The sequence below is a fragment of the Homo sapiens genome, chromosome 15 (assembly GCF_000001405.40).
Source record: "Homo sapiens chromosome 15, GRCh38.p14 Primary Assembly".
Taxonomy (NCBI): Eukaryota; Metazoa; Chordata; class Mammalia; order Primates; family Hominidae; genus Homo; species Homo sapiens.
In genome coordinates, this window is record NC_000015.10 from 75,563,909 (window position 1) to 75,580,167 (window position 16,259).

Consider the following 16,259-nt stretch of genomic DNA (forward strand, 5'->3'; position numbering starts at 1 on the left):
ATCTAAAAAAAATCCTCAGTTGACATTAACACGATAAAGAATTGATAAAAAATAACACTGTGTGGTGATTATCAGGGGAACAGAGACACTTCAGGGCAACACTCAGAAACATTTGGAGGTATACATGTACTGAAACATCACAATATGTATAATTATTATGTACATTATGTCTTTTTTTTTTTTTAATAGAGATAAGGTCTCACTTTGTCACCCAGGCTGGAGTGCAGCAGCAAAATCATAGCTTTGTAAACTTTGTAACCTCAAATTCCTGGGCTCAATCGATCCTCCTGCCTCAGCCTCCCAAAGTGTTGGAATTACAGGCTTAAGCTACCATGCCTGGCCAAAAACAATAATTTTAAAAAAGAGAAACACTTGAAGGGGAAAAATAAAAATGACACCACATTGGCCAGGTGCGGTGGCTCACGCCTGTAATCCCAGCACTTCTGGAGGCTGAGGCGGGTAGATCAGGAGGTCAGAAGATTGAGACCATCCTGGCTAACACAGTGAAACCCCGTCTCTACTAAAAATACAAAAAAAATTAGCCAGGCGTGGTAGCGGGCGCCTGTAGTCCCAGCTACTCGGGAGGCTGAGGCAGGAGAATGGCGTGAACCCGGGAGGCGGAGCTTGCAGTGAGCCAGAATCGCGCCACTGACTCCAGCCTGGCCGACAGAGTGAGACTACGTCTCAAAAAAAAAAAAAAAAATATGACACCACATTATCATGCCATGGCAAAGCTCAGTAGTGTTCTCTCATGTAAAATCCCTCCATCTGGAGTGCAGTGGCTCATGCCTGTATTCTAACACTTTGGGAGGGCAAGGTAGGAGGATCCCTTGAGGCAAGGAATTTGAGAACAGCCTGGGCAACACAACAAGACCCTCTCTCTATTAAAAATAAATACATAAAAATAAATTTTGGCTGGGCACGGTGGCTCACGACTGTAATCCCGGCACTTTGGGAGCCTGAGGCGGGCAGATCACGAGGTCAGGAGTTCGAGACCAGCCTGACCAACATGGTGAAACCCCGTCTCTACTAAAAATACAAAAATTAGCTGGCGTGGTGGCACGTGCCTGTAATCCCAGCTACTCAGGAGACTAAGGCAGGAGAACTGCTTGAACCCGGGAGGCAGAGGTTGCAGTGAGCCGAGATTCTACCACTGCACTCCAGCCTGGGCGACAGAAAAAGACTCCGTCTCAAAAAATATATAATAATAATAATAATAATAATAATAATAATAATAATAATTTTTTAAAAGCTAAATAAAATCCCTCCACCTCTGAAAACCCCTGCAAAGGGTGTGGAAATGGCTCATTTTACCCCTATGATGGTTATGCTATAAAACAATTGGTTTTAGACTAGAGCTTTTCAGTATGAGAAGTCAATTGCTGAAATCAGTATTTGGTGACACATATTTTCATAAACACTAAATGTGTTGAGCAAAGACCTATCTTTAACTTTAAAGTGAAAACTTCAAACTGTTCCTAACTACAAAATTTTTCAGAGATAAACCATGGTTTCTCAACTCTGGCACTACTGACATTTTGACCAGATAATTCTCTGCTGTAGGGAGCTGTCCTATGCATTAGAGGATGTTTAGCAGCATTCCTGACCTCTATCCACTAGATGCCAGTACCACCTCCCACAGTCATGACAACTAAAGAAATTTCTAGATATTGACAAATGTTCTGGGGGGAGGATCATACTGATAGGGAACCAGAGATAAACAATGGAATGATAATTTTCTTCATAAAGGCTGTTTAAATAAGATATGGAAGATAATACAAACTATCATTCTTTGCACTCATTTGCGAATCATTTTTAGGTCATCAGATGACCTTTTAATATTTTATCTGAAAAGCAGCAGCAGAAGCAGACCACCACCACCAGTGCACCTAAAGGTAATGTGTAACCTAGAAAGAAGAAATGAACCAATGAACCAATGGATGATGCAAAAAGTCTTAACAGTAAAAAATGAGCTAAGGTAGCCTCAGTACTCTGCTATGTATATTACTCATGCATGGTAACTGTTAGAATTCTTAGGCTATCTTGAAATCTTTTATTTCAATGCTACAAAGTCAGACTCTTCATTTTTCTTCCTATTCTTATCTGAAAAAGAAAAGTTTCCTGTATCACAGAGATCAAGAATACTTACCACTATTTATTGAGCATTTTGTAAATACAAGGGATTTTACTTAATTAAGCAGATCTCCAAAAAACTTAAGGAAATAAGACAAAACAGATTCAGGAACGTTAAATAAAACACCGAGAGCCACAAAGGAAGCTGAGGGATTCCTGAGATCTACCAAAGGGTCATCACCATCACATCCCAAAAGGCCTAGGTTTTACTTATAAATCTTCTAGTTTATAAAAAGGCCAGATTTGCAATAATATTAAAAACTGAGATCTCAGCATTTAATAGCATAATCTTAAACGTGTAAAGAACACATAGTACTTTTCAGAAAGTGTTATTTTTCATTATAAAAGAAACGTAAGTGGCGGGACACAGTGGCTCATGCCTGTAATCCTAGCACTTTGGGAGGCCGAGGTGGGCAGATGACCTGAGGTCAGGAGTTTGAGACCAGCTTGGCCAAAATGGCAAAACCCCATCTCTACTAAAAATTTAAAAATTAGCTGGGCATGGTGGCAGGCACCTGTAGTCCCAGCTACTTGGGAGGCTGAGACAGAATTGCTTGAAGCCAGGAGGCGGAGGTTGCAGTGAGCTGAGATCGCACCACTGCACTCCAGCCTGGGCGACAGAGTCTCACTCTGTCTCAAAAAAAAAAAAAGAAAGAAACATATGGGCTGGGCACAGTGGTTCATGCCTATAATCTTAGCATTTTGGGAGGCTGAAGCGGAAGGATAGCTTGAGCTCAGGAATTTCAGACCAGCCTGGGCAACATAGTGAGGTCCTATCTCTATTAATGAGAAAAAAAAATTAGCTGGATGTGATGACACGGGCCTGTGGTCCCAGCTACTCAGGAGGCTGAAGTGGGAGCATCGCTTGAGCCTGGGAGGTCAAGGCTGCAGTCAGCCATAACTGTGCCACCACATTCCAGCCTCGGCAACAGAAACATATGATCATTGTAGATCATCTAAATAGCCCATTTTTTTTCTTTTTTTTTTTTTTTCAGATGCAATCTCACTCTGTCGCCCAGGCTGGAGTGCAGTGGCGTGATCTCGGCTCACTGCAACCTCCACCTCTCATGTTCAAGTGATTCTCCTGCCTCAACCTCTGGAGTAGCTGCAATTACAGGCGTACACCACCATGCCTGGCTAATTTCTTTGTATTTTTAGTAGAGACGGGGTTTTGCCATGTTGGCCAGGCTGGTCTTGAACTCCTGACCTCAGGTGATCCGACTGCCTTGGCCTCCCAAAGTGCTGGGATTACAGGCGTGAGTCACCGCGCCCAGCCTTAAATAGCCCATTTTTTAAAAGATTGGTTGTAATAATGATGTATATAATGAATATCATCATATTATCATAATGACGTGTATCTGTAATAATGATTCACATCAAAACAAATGCAAAGGTAAAGATTAGCTAGGTGTTCAAGCAATGAACAAGTAACTAATGGATGAACATCCCCAAACACTTCAGTCCTAAAGTCACAGATGACTTTTTTAGAACCTGCCCAGAAATTACTGTAGAAATAAATTCTGGCTTCAGAATAATTCAATAAACTTACCTGTGCTACCTACACTGAAAAAAGTGACAAGTACTGTGCCGGTATGTTGTGGATGGATTTGGTATTTCAGAGGAAACTGGTACATACTACAGAAACGGCCTTTCCCAAAGGAAAAATGAAATGCTGCCAGGCGCGGTGGCTCACGCCTGTAATCCCAGCACTTTGGGAGGCCGAGGTGGGTGGATCACAAGGTCAGGAGATCAATACCGTCCTGACTAACACGGTGAAACCCTGTCTCTATTAAAAATACAAAAAATTAGCCGGGCGTGGTGGCAGGCGCCTGTAGTCCCAGCTACTCAGGAGACTGAGGCAAGAGAATGGCATTAACCCGGGAGGTGGAGCTTGCAGTGAGCCGAGATTGTGCCACTGCACTCCAGCCTGGGCGACACAGCGAGACTCCGTCTCAAAAAAAAAAAAAAAGAAAACAAAAACTGAAATGCTTATCTCAGAAGCATAAATTAAAGAGAAAAATCATCTCTAATCTACTGTTTCGGTCTTACCATTTTATAGTTTGGACCTAAGAGATCAGCAATCCTTAATAAATAAGGTTTCCCATGAGTTCTGGAGCTTCTCTGCCTCCTGTTCGCACCCTCCATGTCCATGTTTAACAACCTAATGCCAGCCAGGTGCAGTGGCTCATGGCTGTAATCCCAGCACTTTGGGAGGCCGAGGCTGGAGGATCACTTGAGCCTAGGAGTTTAAGACCAGCCTGGGCAACAGAACGAGACCCTGTCTCTACAACAAATAAAAAATAAAAAATCTAACTGGGCATGGTGGTGTGGTGGTGCACGCTTTTAGTCCCAGCTTCTTGGGAGGCTGAGGTAGGAGGATTCCTTGGGCCAGGGAGGTCAAGGCTTCAGCAAGCCATGATCATGCCACTGCACTCCAGTCTGGGTGACAGAGTGAGACCTTGTCTCAAAAAAAAAAAAAAAAACAAAACAAAAAAAAAACAACCTAATGCTGGATGGACACAGTGGCTCATGTCTGTAATCCTAGCACTTTGGGAGGCCGAGGCTGGAAGACTGCTTGAACACAAGAGTTCGGGACCAGCCTAGGCAAGAAAGCAATACCCCCATCTCTTTAGAAAAAAAAAAAAATGTGCCAGGCATGGTGGTACATGCTTGTAGTTCCAGCCACTATAGAGGCTGAGGAAGGAGGACCACTTGGGACCAGGAGTTTCAGGCTGCAGCGAGCTAGGATCAAGCCACTGCACTTCAGCCTGGGCAACAGAACAAGACCCTGTCTCTTACTAAAAAAATTTTAAAAAGTGAACCAAACGCTTAAGAAGCTAACTCGGTTAGGTTCCTAAGGGGCCTTTTCAAAATCAGATATAAAAGGGCTGATGCCAGGCCCTCCAGCACTGAGAAGTGTAGGCTAAACTACCTTTTCTAGGAACATCTTCCCTTATTCTAGAAGAATAGGAATAGAAAACAGTGGTTATTTTAGTGGTCAGGAAGAGCAACCAAGATCTCGCATGGAGGTGTGCTTAGGGGGAAAATGTTAAAATAATTGATTAGGAAAAAGAAAGTACGAGAATTGTCTGATATACCAAGGCAGGATGGTAGACAGAAGCAGTGAAATGGCTGATATTACACTAGAGGTTGTATCTGAACAAATAATCAGGGTTAGGTTCTATGACTTCTAATCTTGGCACTGCAATGGACCAGCCACACTGCCGTAAAATGGGGCTTAATATTTAGAAAATAAAGTTTAAGTACTCCAAAATTACTATGTCTTTTCCAAGACAATAAAGGCATAAAAGTCAGAAAATGAAACTAAAATATACTCACAATGAGTCTTAACTTTTACCTCTTTAAAACAGTTTAGCTCCTGGCCAGGCATGGTGGCTCACGCCTGTAATCCCAGCACTTTGAGAGGCCGAGGCGGGCTGATCACCTGAGGTCAGGAGTTCAAGAGCAGCCTGGCCAATAAGCTGAAACCCCATCTCTACAAAAAATACAAAAATTAGCTGGGCGTGGTGGCGGGCACCTGTAATCCCAGCTACTTGGGAGGCTGAGGCTGGAAAATCGCTTGAACCCAGGAGGCGGAGGTTGCAGTGAGCGGAGATAGTGACAAGAGTGAAACTCCATCTCAAAAAAAAAAAAAAAAAAACAGTTCAGCTCCTTTCTAAAGGAGGGTCTTTTCAATTCATTCATAAGTACTAGGTTGGGTTCCTTAGAGAAAACCTCCAGGCCACTTAATATTCACAAAACTAAAGTCCAAGACCCTTGTGCTCAGAATTTTTTTTTTGAGATGGATTCTCGCTTTGTCACCAGGCTGGAGGGCAGTGGCGCGATCTCAGCTCACAGCAACCCCTGCCTCCCGGTTCAAGCAATTCTCCTGCCTCAGCCTCCCGAGTAGCTGGGACTACAGGTGAGCGCCACCACTCCCAGCTAATTTTTGTATCTTTACTAGAGACGGGATTTCATCATGTTGGCCAGGATGGTCTTGATCTCTTGACCTTGTGATCCACCCGCCTCGGCCTCCCAAAGTGCTGGGATTACAGGCATGAGCCACACCACACCCAACCAGAAATTTTTAATACAGCAAAATTCTCACATCCAAATGAGGTTTTACCTAATTGTTACTTACAGTATCATAAACTATCAGCAATAATGAAAATAATAAGAGTTCTTCACCTTTCCTTCCTTCTTTGTCTCTGTAGAAGACCTCAATTTAACATCATAAATCATTTGGTCCTTGACGTATGGTAACTTCCAGGGAGACAGATGACATTTAGCACAGGACATGTAAGACTGTGGGAAAAGGGAAGTTCTTGGCCGCAAGAAATGGGACAAAACCCTTGCCTTTGGGAAAAATGCCAAAGATCTCTGAAGTCCACGCTAAAGCAGTTAAATTTTTAGCTTTAAAAGATTCCATTACAAAAATCCAAACCAGACTGGGCACAGTGGCTCATGCCTGTAATCCCAACACTTTGGGAGGCCGAGGCAGGAGGATTGCTTGAGCTTAGGAGTTCGTGACCAGCCTGGGCAACATGGTAAAACCCCCCTCTACAAAAAATATAACAAATTAGTCATGTGTGGTAGCATGCCTGTAGTCCCAGGAACCCGGGAGGCGAGGTGGAAGGATCACTTGATCCTGGGAGGCTGGGAGGTCGAGGCTGCAATGAGTTATGATCATGCCACTGCATTCCAGCCTGGGTGACAGAGTAAGATCCTGTCTCCAAAAAAAAAAGCAAAAACCACACCATACAATTAGAATAGGCTTTTAAAAACTACACTATAAAAATGCAAGATAATAATTTTCTGGAATTCATAAGAACCTGTACTAGGTGATGGTCCCCAGGGTGGATATGAATATTTTTTCCCCTTGTAATTGGCTTAAGCTAACATGGTTCTAAAATTTTTCGCTATTCAAAAACGATGAGGACGGGCACGGTAGCTCATGCCTGTAATCCCAGCACTCTGGGAGACCAAGGCAGGTTGATCACCTGAGGTCAGGAGTTTGAGACCAGCCTGGCCAACATGGCGAAACCCCGTCTCTACTAAAAATACAAAAATTAGCCAGGTATGGTGGCGGGCACCTGTAATCCCAGCTACTAGGGAGGCTGAGGCAGGAGAATTGCTTGAACCCGGGAGGCGGCGGTTGCAGTGAGCCGAGATCATGCCACTGCACTCTAGTCTAGGTGACAGAACAAGACTGTCTCAAAAAGAAAAAAACAAAAAACAATGATGAATATCATAATAATGGCTAACTTTTCTGACTACTTATTATATAAGCATTGGGCTAAGTGCTCTACATGCATCTCCTTATTAATCCTCACAACATTGTAAGGTCTAAATAACATAAACTTTAAGAATTTTCAAAAAAAGAAAAAACATAAAATTAAAATAAAAAAAGAAACAAAAATAATAATAATTTTCAGGCTGGGCGTGGTGGCTCACGCCTGTACTCCCAGCATTTTGGGAGGCCAAGGTGGGTAGACTGCTTGAGCCCTGGAGTTCAAGACCAGCCTGGGCAACATAGTGACACCTTATCTCTATTATTTAAAAAATGAAATAAAATAAATTGGTGGTGGCTCACGCTTGTAATCCCAGCACTTTGGGAGGCAGAGGCAGGTGGATCACGAGGTCAGGATATAGAGACCATCATGGCCAACATGGTGAAACCCCATCTCTACTAAAATATAAAAATTGGCCAGGCATGGTGGTGCATGCCAGCAGTCCCAGCTGCTTGGGAGGCTGAGGTAGGAGAATCGCTTGAACACAGGAGGTGGAGGTTGTGCCATTGTGCTCCAGCCTGGTGACAGAGCAAGACTCCGTCTCAAAAAACTAAATAAAAAATAAAAATAAAACTATTAACAGAAACATAAGTACTTTCGAAAACTACTCTATTATCCTATCAATCATCACTGGGATATCCATGCAAAACCAAAATACCCTGAACAGCTATAATTATACAGAATTTTAATCTAGTGAGAGTTCTAGTTAAGAGTCTTGGCAGGGTGAGATGGCTCACACCTGTAATCCCAGCACTTTGGGCTGCTGAGGCACGTGGATTACCTAAGGTCAAGAGTTCAAGACCAGCATGGGCAACATGGTGAAATCCCATCTCTACTAAAAATACAAAAATAAGCCAGGCGTGGTGGCAGGTGCCTGTAATCCCAGCTACTCGGGAGGCCAAGGCATGAGAATCGCTTGAACCCAGGAGGCAAAGGTTGCAGTGAGCTGAGATCGTGCCACTGCCCACAGCCTGGGCAACAAAGCAAGACTCCGTCTCAAAACACAATAACATAATGACAATGAAGATTAATACTTATATGTAGAAATTGTCCTTCACACTGCCAAACTGCCAGCCCATTAAGAAAGGCTTTTACGGCCAGGCATGGTGGCTCATGCCTGTAATCCGAGCACTTGGGGAGGCCAAGGCAGGCTGATCACTTGAGATCAGGAGTTGGAGACCAGACTAGCCAACATGGTGAAACCCCATCTCTACTAAAAAGAAAATACAAAAATTAGTCGGGTGTGATGGTGCATGCCTGTAGTCCCAGCTACTCGAGAGGCTGAGACAGGAGAATCGCTTGAACCCAGAAGGCGGAGGTTGCAGTGGGCTGAGACTGCGCTCCAGCCTGGGCGACAGAGCGAGACTCTGTCTCAAAAAAAAAGAAAAAAAGAAAGAAAGAAAAAGAAAGGCTTTCACAAGCCTTCTTGTGCAAAAGAACAAGAAGATATAAAGAAAATAAAATTTTATTGTAGTTGTGACCACACCTTGAAATGGAGAGTTGACAACTCTGTTTTAAGGAACAAATTTTTTTCCTATAGTAATTTCATCATAATTTCTTGCACAGAGTATACAGTATGTTTCCTCTGGCAATACACAGCTGAGTAAAGGTTTTCTGTATCTTTTCATCTGTACTTTTCAAACTATATTTTAAGAAGCATTAACAAAACCAAACACATATATCAATACCAAAACCCACAAAATTAGCTATTTTATACCCACTTAGGCACCTAAGTAAATTGGCTAATGGCTTCATGGGAAGTAATGTAGTGTAAAAGAGGAAACACTGGCAGTGAAGGCAGAAAACCTAGACCTGGGTGGAAATCATGGCTACATCACTTGTTAACTATGTGACCTTGGGCAATTTCCTTCTCTCAGTCTGAGTTTTCTTATTTGCAAAGTGAGGGTAGTAATTCCAATCTTGGGAGGGACGATTAATTGCATGTGAAATGCCCACCACAGAGCCTGACTGAAAGCAGGAGTTTAGAAAAGATACTGTTACGATTGTTATTCATATAAGCTCCTTAAAAGCAAAAACATCATATTTGTCCTCGTAGCCCAATTGTAGGCTTTATAATTATTGAGGAGCTGAAAAACAAGAAACACCAAAGTTACAAATGAGGATTTGTATCCGTTCAACACATGCCTAGACAGAAAATGAGACTAAGTAATCATGACTTTCAAAAACTATATCAATGCATACACAGCATATAAATCAAAGTATATATTGCCATTTGATGGGGAAAAAAATCAAAATATGTAATGTGCTTATTTTTAAGCCACTCTGAAAGAAGATGATGCTGCCTGTATACAAATCAAGAGTACAACTACTCTTCATTCATTCTGCAAGTATTTCCGTAAGTGCCAGTCATTATGTCAGTCATTATGCTAGGCAATGTGCATATGATGGGGAGCAAAAGCGAAAATAATCCCAACCCTCATAGAGCTTGCTTGCAGTCATGTAATCACACAAATAAGTGTTAACTTGTGATAAGTGATGTGAATGACAGGTAAATGGTGCTCTGAGAACCTATTAGGTTAGAATCTAATCTAACTGAAATCAAGGAAGGCCTTCCAAGGAGGTGAAACCTGAGAGCTGAAGGATGAAGAGGAGGTTAACAAAGGGGGGTGTTTCCAGATGGAGGAAAGCAGCTCCTGCAAAGACCCTGTAAGCAGGAGGAAACAAGGAAAGAAGGCAGGACTATAAGGCCAGTGTGCATGGAGCAGAGACAAGTGTGAGAACTAGCTAGGGCCTAGGCTGCTCAAGGGCCTAGATATATAGCCTACATTCAAAAGTTGCAATTTGATCTCAAGAGCAATGACAAGGCCTGTAATCCTAAGGCTTTGGGAGGCTGAGGCAGGAGGACGGCTTGAACCCAGGAGGTTGAGGCTGTAATGAGCCGTGATTACACCACTGGACTCCAGCCTGGGTGACAAAGTGAGATCCTGTCTCCACAAAAAAAAAAAAAAAAGGCAACCAGAAGCCACTAAAGAGTTTTATGAATGCTTCTTTGCGGGGCAGGCAGGCTGAGGGGAAGATGAAATCAGATTTTCAACAGGACTCTGGCTTCTGGATTCTGGAATATGGATGGACCAGGTGGGAAACAAAAGTCCTGTCAGGATAGGATAGTAGCTTCGAATAGGGTGATGGCAGTGATGGTGGAAGGAAGCCAATGAATTCAAGAGATATTCAGGAAAATCTAACACTGTATTGTACACAAGGGCAGAGGGACAGCAGTGTCCAAGACTTCTGGGTTTCTGATTCATATGACTGTACAGAAGGAGATACCACTCAGGAGGTATTCTGCTTCAGAAATATTTTTAAGGAGCCAGGCGCGGTGGCTCACGCCTGTAATCCCAGCACTTTGGGAGGCTGAGGTGGGTGAATTGCCTGAGGTCAGGAGTTCGAGACCAGCCTAGCTAATGTAGTGAAACCCCATCTCTACTAAAAATACAAAAACTTAGCTGGGTGTGGTGGCGGGCGCCTGTAATCCCAGCTACTAGGGTGGCTGAAGCAAGAGAATTGCTCGAACCCGGGAGGCAGAGGTTGCAATGAGCCAAGATCACGCCATTGCATTCCAGCCTGGGCAACAAGAGCAAAACTCTGTCTCAAAAAAAAAAAAAAAAAAAGAAAGAAAGAAAAGAAATATCTTTTTTTTTTTTTTTTTTTGAGACAGAGGAGACGGAGTCTCGCTCTGTCGGCGGGATCTCGGCTCACTGCAAGCTCCGCCTCCCGGGTTCACGCCATTCTCCTGCCTCAGCCTCCCGAGTAGCTGGGACTACAGGCGCCCGCCACGACGCCCGGCTAATTTTTTGTATTTTTAGTAGAGGCGGGGTTTCACTGTGTTAGCCAGGATGGTCTCGATCTCCTGACCTCATGATCCGCCCGCCTCTGCCTCCCAAAGTGCTGGGATTACAGGCGTGAGCCACCGCGCCCGGCCGAAAAGAAATATCTTTAAGGCTGTTCACACAGGCCAAAAAGGGCCTAACTGCACTACACTTTTGCATGAAAATGTGTAAACCGAATTTGATCCCCTACTTTAAATAAGGCTCTAAAAGATTTTTTGCTATTTACAGAAATCAAACTGACTCTCAAAAGTACAAGGATTTTCCTACACTGAAGAAATTTCAAAGATTCTGCCACAAGCTTCTAAATCAACTCCAAATAAATGTTAAATTGGTTTGAGCAATAGGGCAGCATTACGGAGTGAATGTGTCAGTTCCCATGAGGACCACTTTGATAAGGCTAACACTTATGTACTGCTGTTTAATTTTAATATTTTAAATAAATCTTAAGAGTACCCTTGGCTGGGCGCGGTGGTTCACGCCTGTAATCCCAGCACTTTGGGAGGCCAAGGCGGGTGGATCATGAGGTCAGGAGATCGAGACCATCCTGGCTAACATGGGGAAACCCCGTCTCTACTAAAAATATGAAAAATTAGCCAGGCGTGGTGGCGGGCGCCTGTAGTCCCAGCTACTCGGGAGGCTGAGACAGAAGAATGGCATGAACCCAGGAGGTGGAGCTTGCAGTGAGCCGAGATTGCGCCACTGCACTCCAGCCTGGGCAACAGAGCAAGACTCCATCTCAAAAAAAAAAAAAAAAAAAAAAAGAGTACTCTTGGCTGGGCACAGCGGCCCAGGCCTGTAATCCCAGCATTTTGGGAGGCCAAGGCGGGTGGATCACGAGGTCAAGAAATCGAGACCATCCTCCAACATGGTGAAACCCCGTCTCTAGTAAAAATACAAAACTTAGCTGGGCATGGTGGCACGCACGCCTGAAGTCACAGCTACTTGGGAGGCTGAGGCAGGAGAATCGCTTGAATCAGGGAGGCAGAGTTTGCAGTGAGCCGAGATCACAACGCTACACTTCAGCCTGGCAACAGAGCAAGACTCAGTTAAAAAACAAAAGGGTACTTCTGGCTGTGTGCAGTGGCTCACACCTGTGATCCCAACACTTTGGGAGGCCAAGGCGGGTGGATCACCTGAGGCCAGGAGTATGATGAGACTAGCCTGGCCAACACGGTGAAACCCCATCTCTACTAAAAATACAAAAATTAGCTGGGCATGGTGGGTACCTGTAATCCCAGATACTCAGGAGGCTGAGGCAGGAGAATCGCTTGAACCCGGCAGATGGAGGTTGCAGTGAGCCGAGATCACGCCATTGTACTCCAGTCTGGGCAACAAAACCCAAACTCCGGCCAGGCGCAGTAACTCACGACTGTAATCCCAGCACTTTTGGAGGACGAGGCGGGCAGATCATGAGGTCAGGAGTTCAAGACCAGCCTGGCCAACATGGTGAAACCCCGCGTCTACTAAAAATACAAAAATTAGCTGGGCATGGTGGCAGGCGCCTGTAATCCCAGCTGCTCGGGAGGCTGAGGCAGGAGAATCGTTTGAACCCTGGAGGCAGAGGTTGCAGTGAGCCAAGATCAGGCCACTGCACTCCAGCCTAGATGACAGGGCGAGGCTCTGTCTCAAAAAAACAAACAAACAAACAAAAAATCAAAACTCCATCTCAAAAAAAAAGAGAGTACTCTTATGTGATATTAAACTAAAATATGGTAACATTAGGCATTACCATAATTAGAACTATACTGCTTTTGTTTCAATATTTTGAAATGCTTGTAAAAAAATAATATTTTGTAGAAAAAAGAGATAAGATTTTAAAAACACACACACACACAATCTCTTGACTTTAATAAACATTTTGCCGTTTCCATCCTAGTCCTTGTTAATGCCCATCACATTCAATTCAGGGTAAAAGATAAGGTTTTTACTAGTTAAACACATCTGTATATATGTGTATGCACTATGTACAAAGTAAAGCCAATACCATGTCAATACTATCAATACTTTAATATTTACTTTTCCTGGTTTTAGTTTTCAAATTTGCAACGGATGCTATTTGCATAGAATACTGATGGCTTTAAGTCTTAAAAACAGAAATCTGACTGACCCAAGGAAAAGGATGAAAGAAAGAGATTTTGTCCCTTTAAAATCAGCCAACACATCCTATCTTAGTACTGAAGTACTTCCCAATTCTGGCAGAATGGGCTCCTTGGCCACCTGCTTGCACTAGGGTCTGACTAGCATTTTATTAACATCCAACTGCAGTTACCAGGACATTCATTACCACTGCTTGTACAAAGCAGAATTCTTTTTAAATTTTTTTCCCATACAGATTTCATCACCAGGTGTCAAAAGACAAAACCGTGGCCTGAGGCCAAATAGAAAAATGTCATCTCCACAAATAAGGAGAAAAGACAAGGACTTTAAAAAATCAGGTCAACAAGCCCATTAGCCAATAATAGTTTGTAAAACTGGACTGTCTTCACACTAGAGGCTGTGCTAGCAAATGTGGTCCTTGGAAACAAGAGCTGTAGAGCTTGAAATGGGTTGCCAGCATGGTTTGCCTTTTTCTTTTTTCATGTTTATTTTTATTTTTTTTATTTATAACATGGAATCAGACTATGACTATAATCGAGCATAGCTATGGCGGGGTATGGGCAGTGCCAAGGAAGAGACAGCGAAAAGCCCGTAGGGTTCCCAGTCTAAGCTAGCAGACCTTCCCATCTTCCTCAGGAGTGGTCCCTGTCTCCGCAGCTGGAATGTGCGGGAGGGAAAGTTACAAGGGCCCCCAAAATGAGACAGCAAACCACTTCCTTCTGAAAACTAAAGGTCATAGGCTTTTAAGGAACAATAGAGCTCAATGTAAGCTTCAGAAAGATGGAGACAGTCAGATGAGACGAGGGTAGGGAAGCGCGGGTGAGGAGATGCGCCCCGTCTGGGATAGCTGAATAGGGGGGTCAAGGCCAGGGACTTTAGGAACACGAGAAGGGCTGGATCTTCCATAACCTGCCCAAGTGGGCCTGAGAAACCTAAGAGGCTCCTCTGAAAATCTAGGGCATCTATGCATCCAATACTCTCAGCCCTCTCCTCGGGAAGGGAGATAATCCCCACAGGAAGCACCCCCCAAACTGGGGCTTTTCCTGCCCTTCAAAAGCCACAAACCCTCACGGAAAACATTTACAAGGGAGTGGAAGGGCCGGGGGCAAGCAGCGGTTCTGCAAATCTCGGGAAGAAGGCCCCTGGATCCAAGGAACTTTGCCCCTGGAATAGGGGGTGGGGTGCGGAGGGCACCGTCTGAGGCTGGTAAGCCTCGGCGAAAGAAGCGGCGGGAACGGGAGTAGGGTCCCGTGGGTCCCCCGACGAGGGGGTGGCGGCCTGGGGCGCGGTCGCCGGTGAGGGAGGCCCGCGAGCCGGGCACGGGAGCGGGGGGCTGCGGCCCCGTGGCTGCAAAGAGCCGGCACTCGGGAGGCAGAGGCCGGCGTAGGCCTCGGGGGCCCGGACACACCCAACGCGGCGGCCTCGGGCCCGCTTACCTGCTCCTCCTCCGGGGTCAGCTCCGGCGCCATGTCGGGCCGGGGCGCGGTCGCGGGCTCCATCCCCCCGCCACCGCCGCCGGGCGGACAAAACTCGCTCGCGAGCGCGGGAGCCCGGCGCGCTCGGCCTCCGCTTCCGCGTCCCCGCGCCTCAGCAGCCCGGGGCCGGCTCGCGCATAGTGTGGCCGGCAGGGCCCGGCGCCTGCAGCGGCCGCAAACGCCGCTTCTGCTTCCTTAAGAAAAATCTCTCCGAACTGCCGCTCTCTTCCGGGAGGAAATCCTTTTTTATATTATTCGCTCCGTTCCTCACACTCCCCCTTATCTCCTGGGGAAGAAAAAGTGCAGGCGAAGAGCTAACAGCCACTCGGGATTTAAAAGGAAATAGGAAATCAGGAACTTTTAGAGCCGGGAGCGAAGGGTCGGCGGAAATTTCCCGAAGGCCGCCGACCCCCTCGGCGCCCCGCTTCCTCGGCCGCGCTCCCGCTCCTCCACAGCGCCACAGAGCTCGGGGCCGCCCAGCCGGGCCGTCCTCGCGGACGCTGGCCCTGCGACCTGCGCGGCTGCCTCAGCCAGGCTCCTCGCGGGCGGCCGCAGCGAAAGGGAGGGAGTGGAGAGGGAGCGAGGGAAACGCGCCCCCCTCCTGACTCACGGCCAACGCTGCGGCCGCCCCGCGGCCGCCCGAGCCCCCCGCGGCTCCATTGAGAAACTGAGCGTCTCATTCACAAGCTGGCGGCGAGGAGGGCCCGGCGGAGCGAGGACGCAGTCCGGGAGGGGGAGACAGAGAGGAGCCCGGGCGGGGGAGGGGACCGGGAGGGGGAGGGGACCCGGGCGGGGAGGGGACCCTAGCTGGACGGAAGGCAACTCGACTGCGGGAGGGAGAAAAAGGAAGAAAAGAGTATTTCGTGAGGCTCAGATCCTCGGAGGAGGAGGAGAATACGTTCGTTTGCAAATTATCTGCTGACTGGCACCTCTCCTGGGGTTAACTTGCCGCTGCCACCTACGCGTGAGAAACCCACAATCCTCAACTATTTGTCGCTTGCAGCCTGAAAGACCCTGGAAAGGTTGCCTGCCAGGCCAGGATGCTTAGGTGGAAGGAATCGCACCTGCCTCCCTCTCTCTCCCTCCTTACTGGCTGCACCCTGTAATTCATCTCCAGTGTCGCTAATTTTAATCCCCCATAGAAACGACATCAGACTCCGAACATCATTCAGGAATGACGCGGCCTTTGCAGACCTTTGATTTTCACTAGGGCAAGTGCAGCAAAGGGTTCAGGATTAGGGGTACAGTCTTGGAGTCATTTGGGGAGGAATGGGGCATAGAGAAGGCAAGGCTGGGTCTGGTACGTTGTTGCATTATTCCAAGCCAAAGATAAATATTCCAAAGGGACCCAAAGTCCACAACTAGTTCCAAGGCTGAAGCCCTGGAGCCAGTCCTGAGGGACCCAAAGGAGGGGC

At 46.1% G+C, this 16,259-nt stretch overlaps 1 protein-coding gene across 1 annotated transcript in view, besides 4 other annotated features; it reads right to left on the bottom strand.

The window, feature by feature from the left end:
• The window catches only part of PTPN9 (protein tyrosine phosphatase non-receptor type 9), a 116,065-nt gene extending 100,658 nt beyond the window's left edge, over positions 1-15,407 (bottom strand). Inside the window, exon 1 of the mRNA NM_002833.4 lies at positions 14,806-15,407. Within this exon, the coding sequence (NP_002824.1) occupies positions 14,806-14,868 (63 nt within the window). The 5' untranslated portion in view covers positions 14,869-15,407. The remainder of the gene's footprint in view (positions 1-14,805) is intronic.
• Positions 14,615-15,014: a silencer, noted in NCBI's record as "silent region_6673". NCBI's record gives its function as "represses an Ori minimal core promoter by ATAC-STARR-seq in GM12878 lymphoblastoid cells {active_cell/tissue: GM12878}" and the evidence as "EXISTENCE:reporter gene assay evidence [ECO:0000049][PMID:35858748]".
• Positions 14,974-15,572: an enhancer, noted in NCBI's record as "H3K27ac hESC enhancer chr15:75871223-75871821 (GRCh37/hg19 assembly coordinates)". NCBI's record gives its function as "activates a minimal SCP1, AML or CMV promoter by ChIP-STARR-seq in primed H9 embryonic stem cells {active_cell/tissue: H9 hESC(primed)}" and the evidence as "EXISTENCE:reporter gene assay evidence [ECO:0000049][PMID:30033119]".
• Positions 14,974-15,764: a biological region, named in NCBI's record as "H3K27ac hESC enhancer GRCh37_chr15:75871223-75871821".
• Positions 15,275-15,764: a silencer, noted in NCBI's record as "silent region_6674". NCBI's record gives its function as "represses an Ori minimal core promoter by ATAC-STARR-seq in GM12878 lymphoblastoid cells {active_cell/tissue: GM12878}" and the evidence as "EXISTENCE:reporter gene assay evidence [ECO:0000049][PMID:35858748]".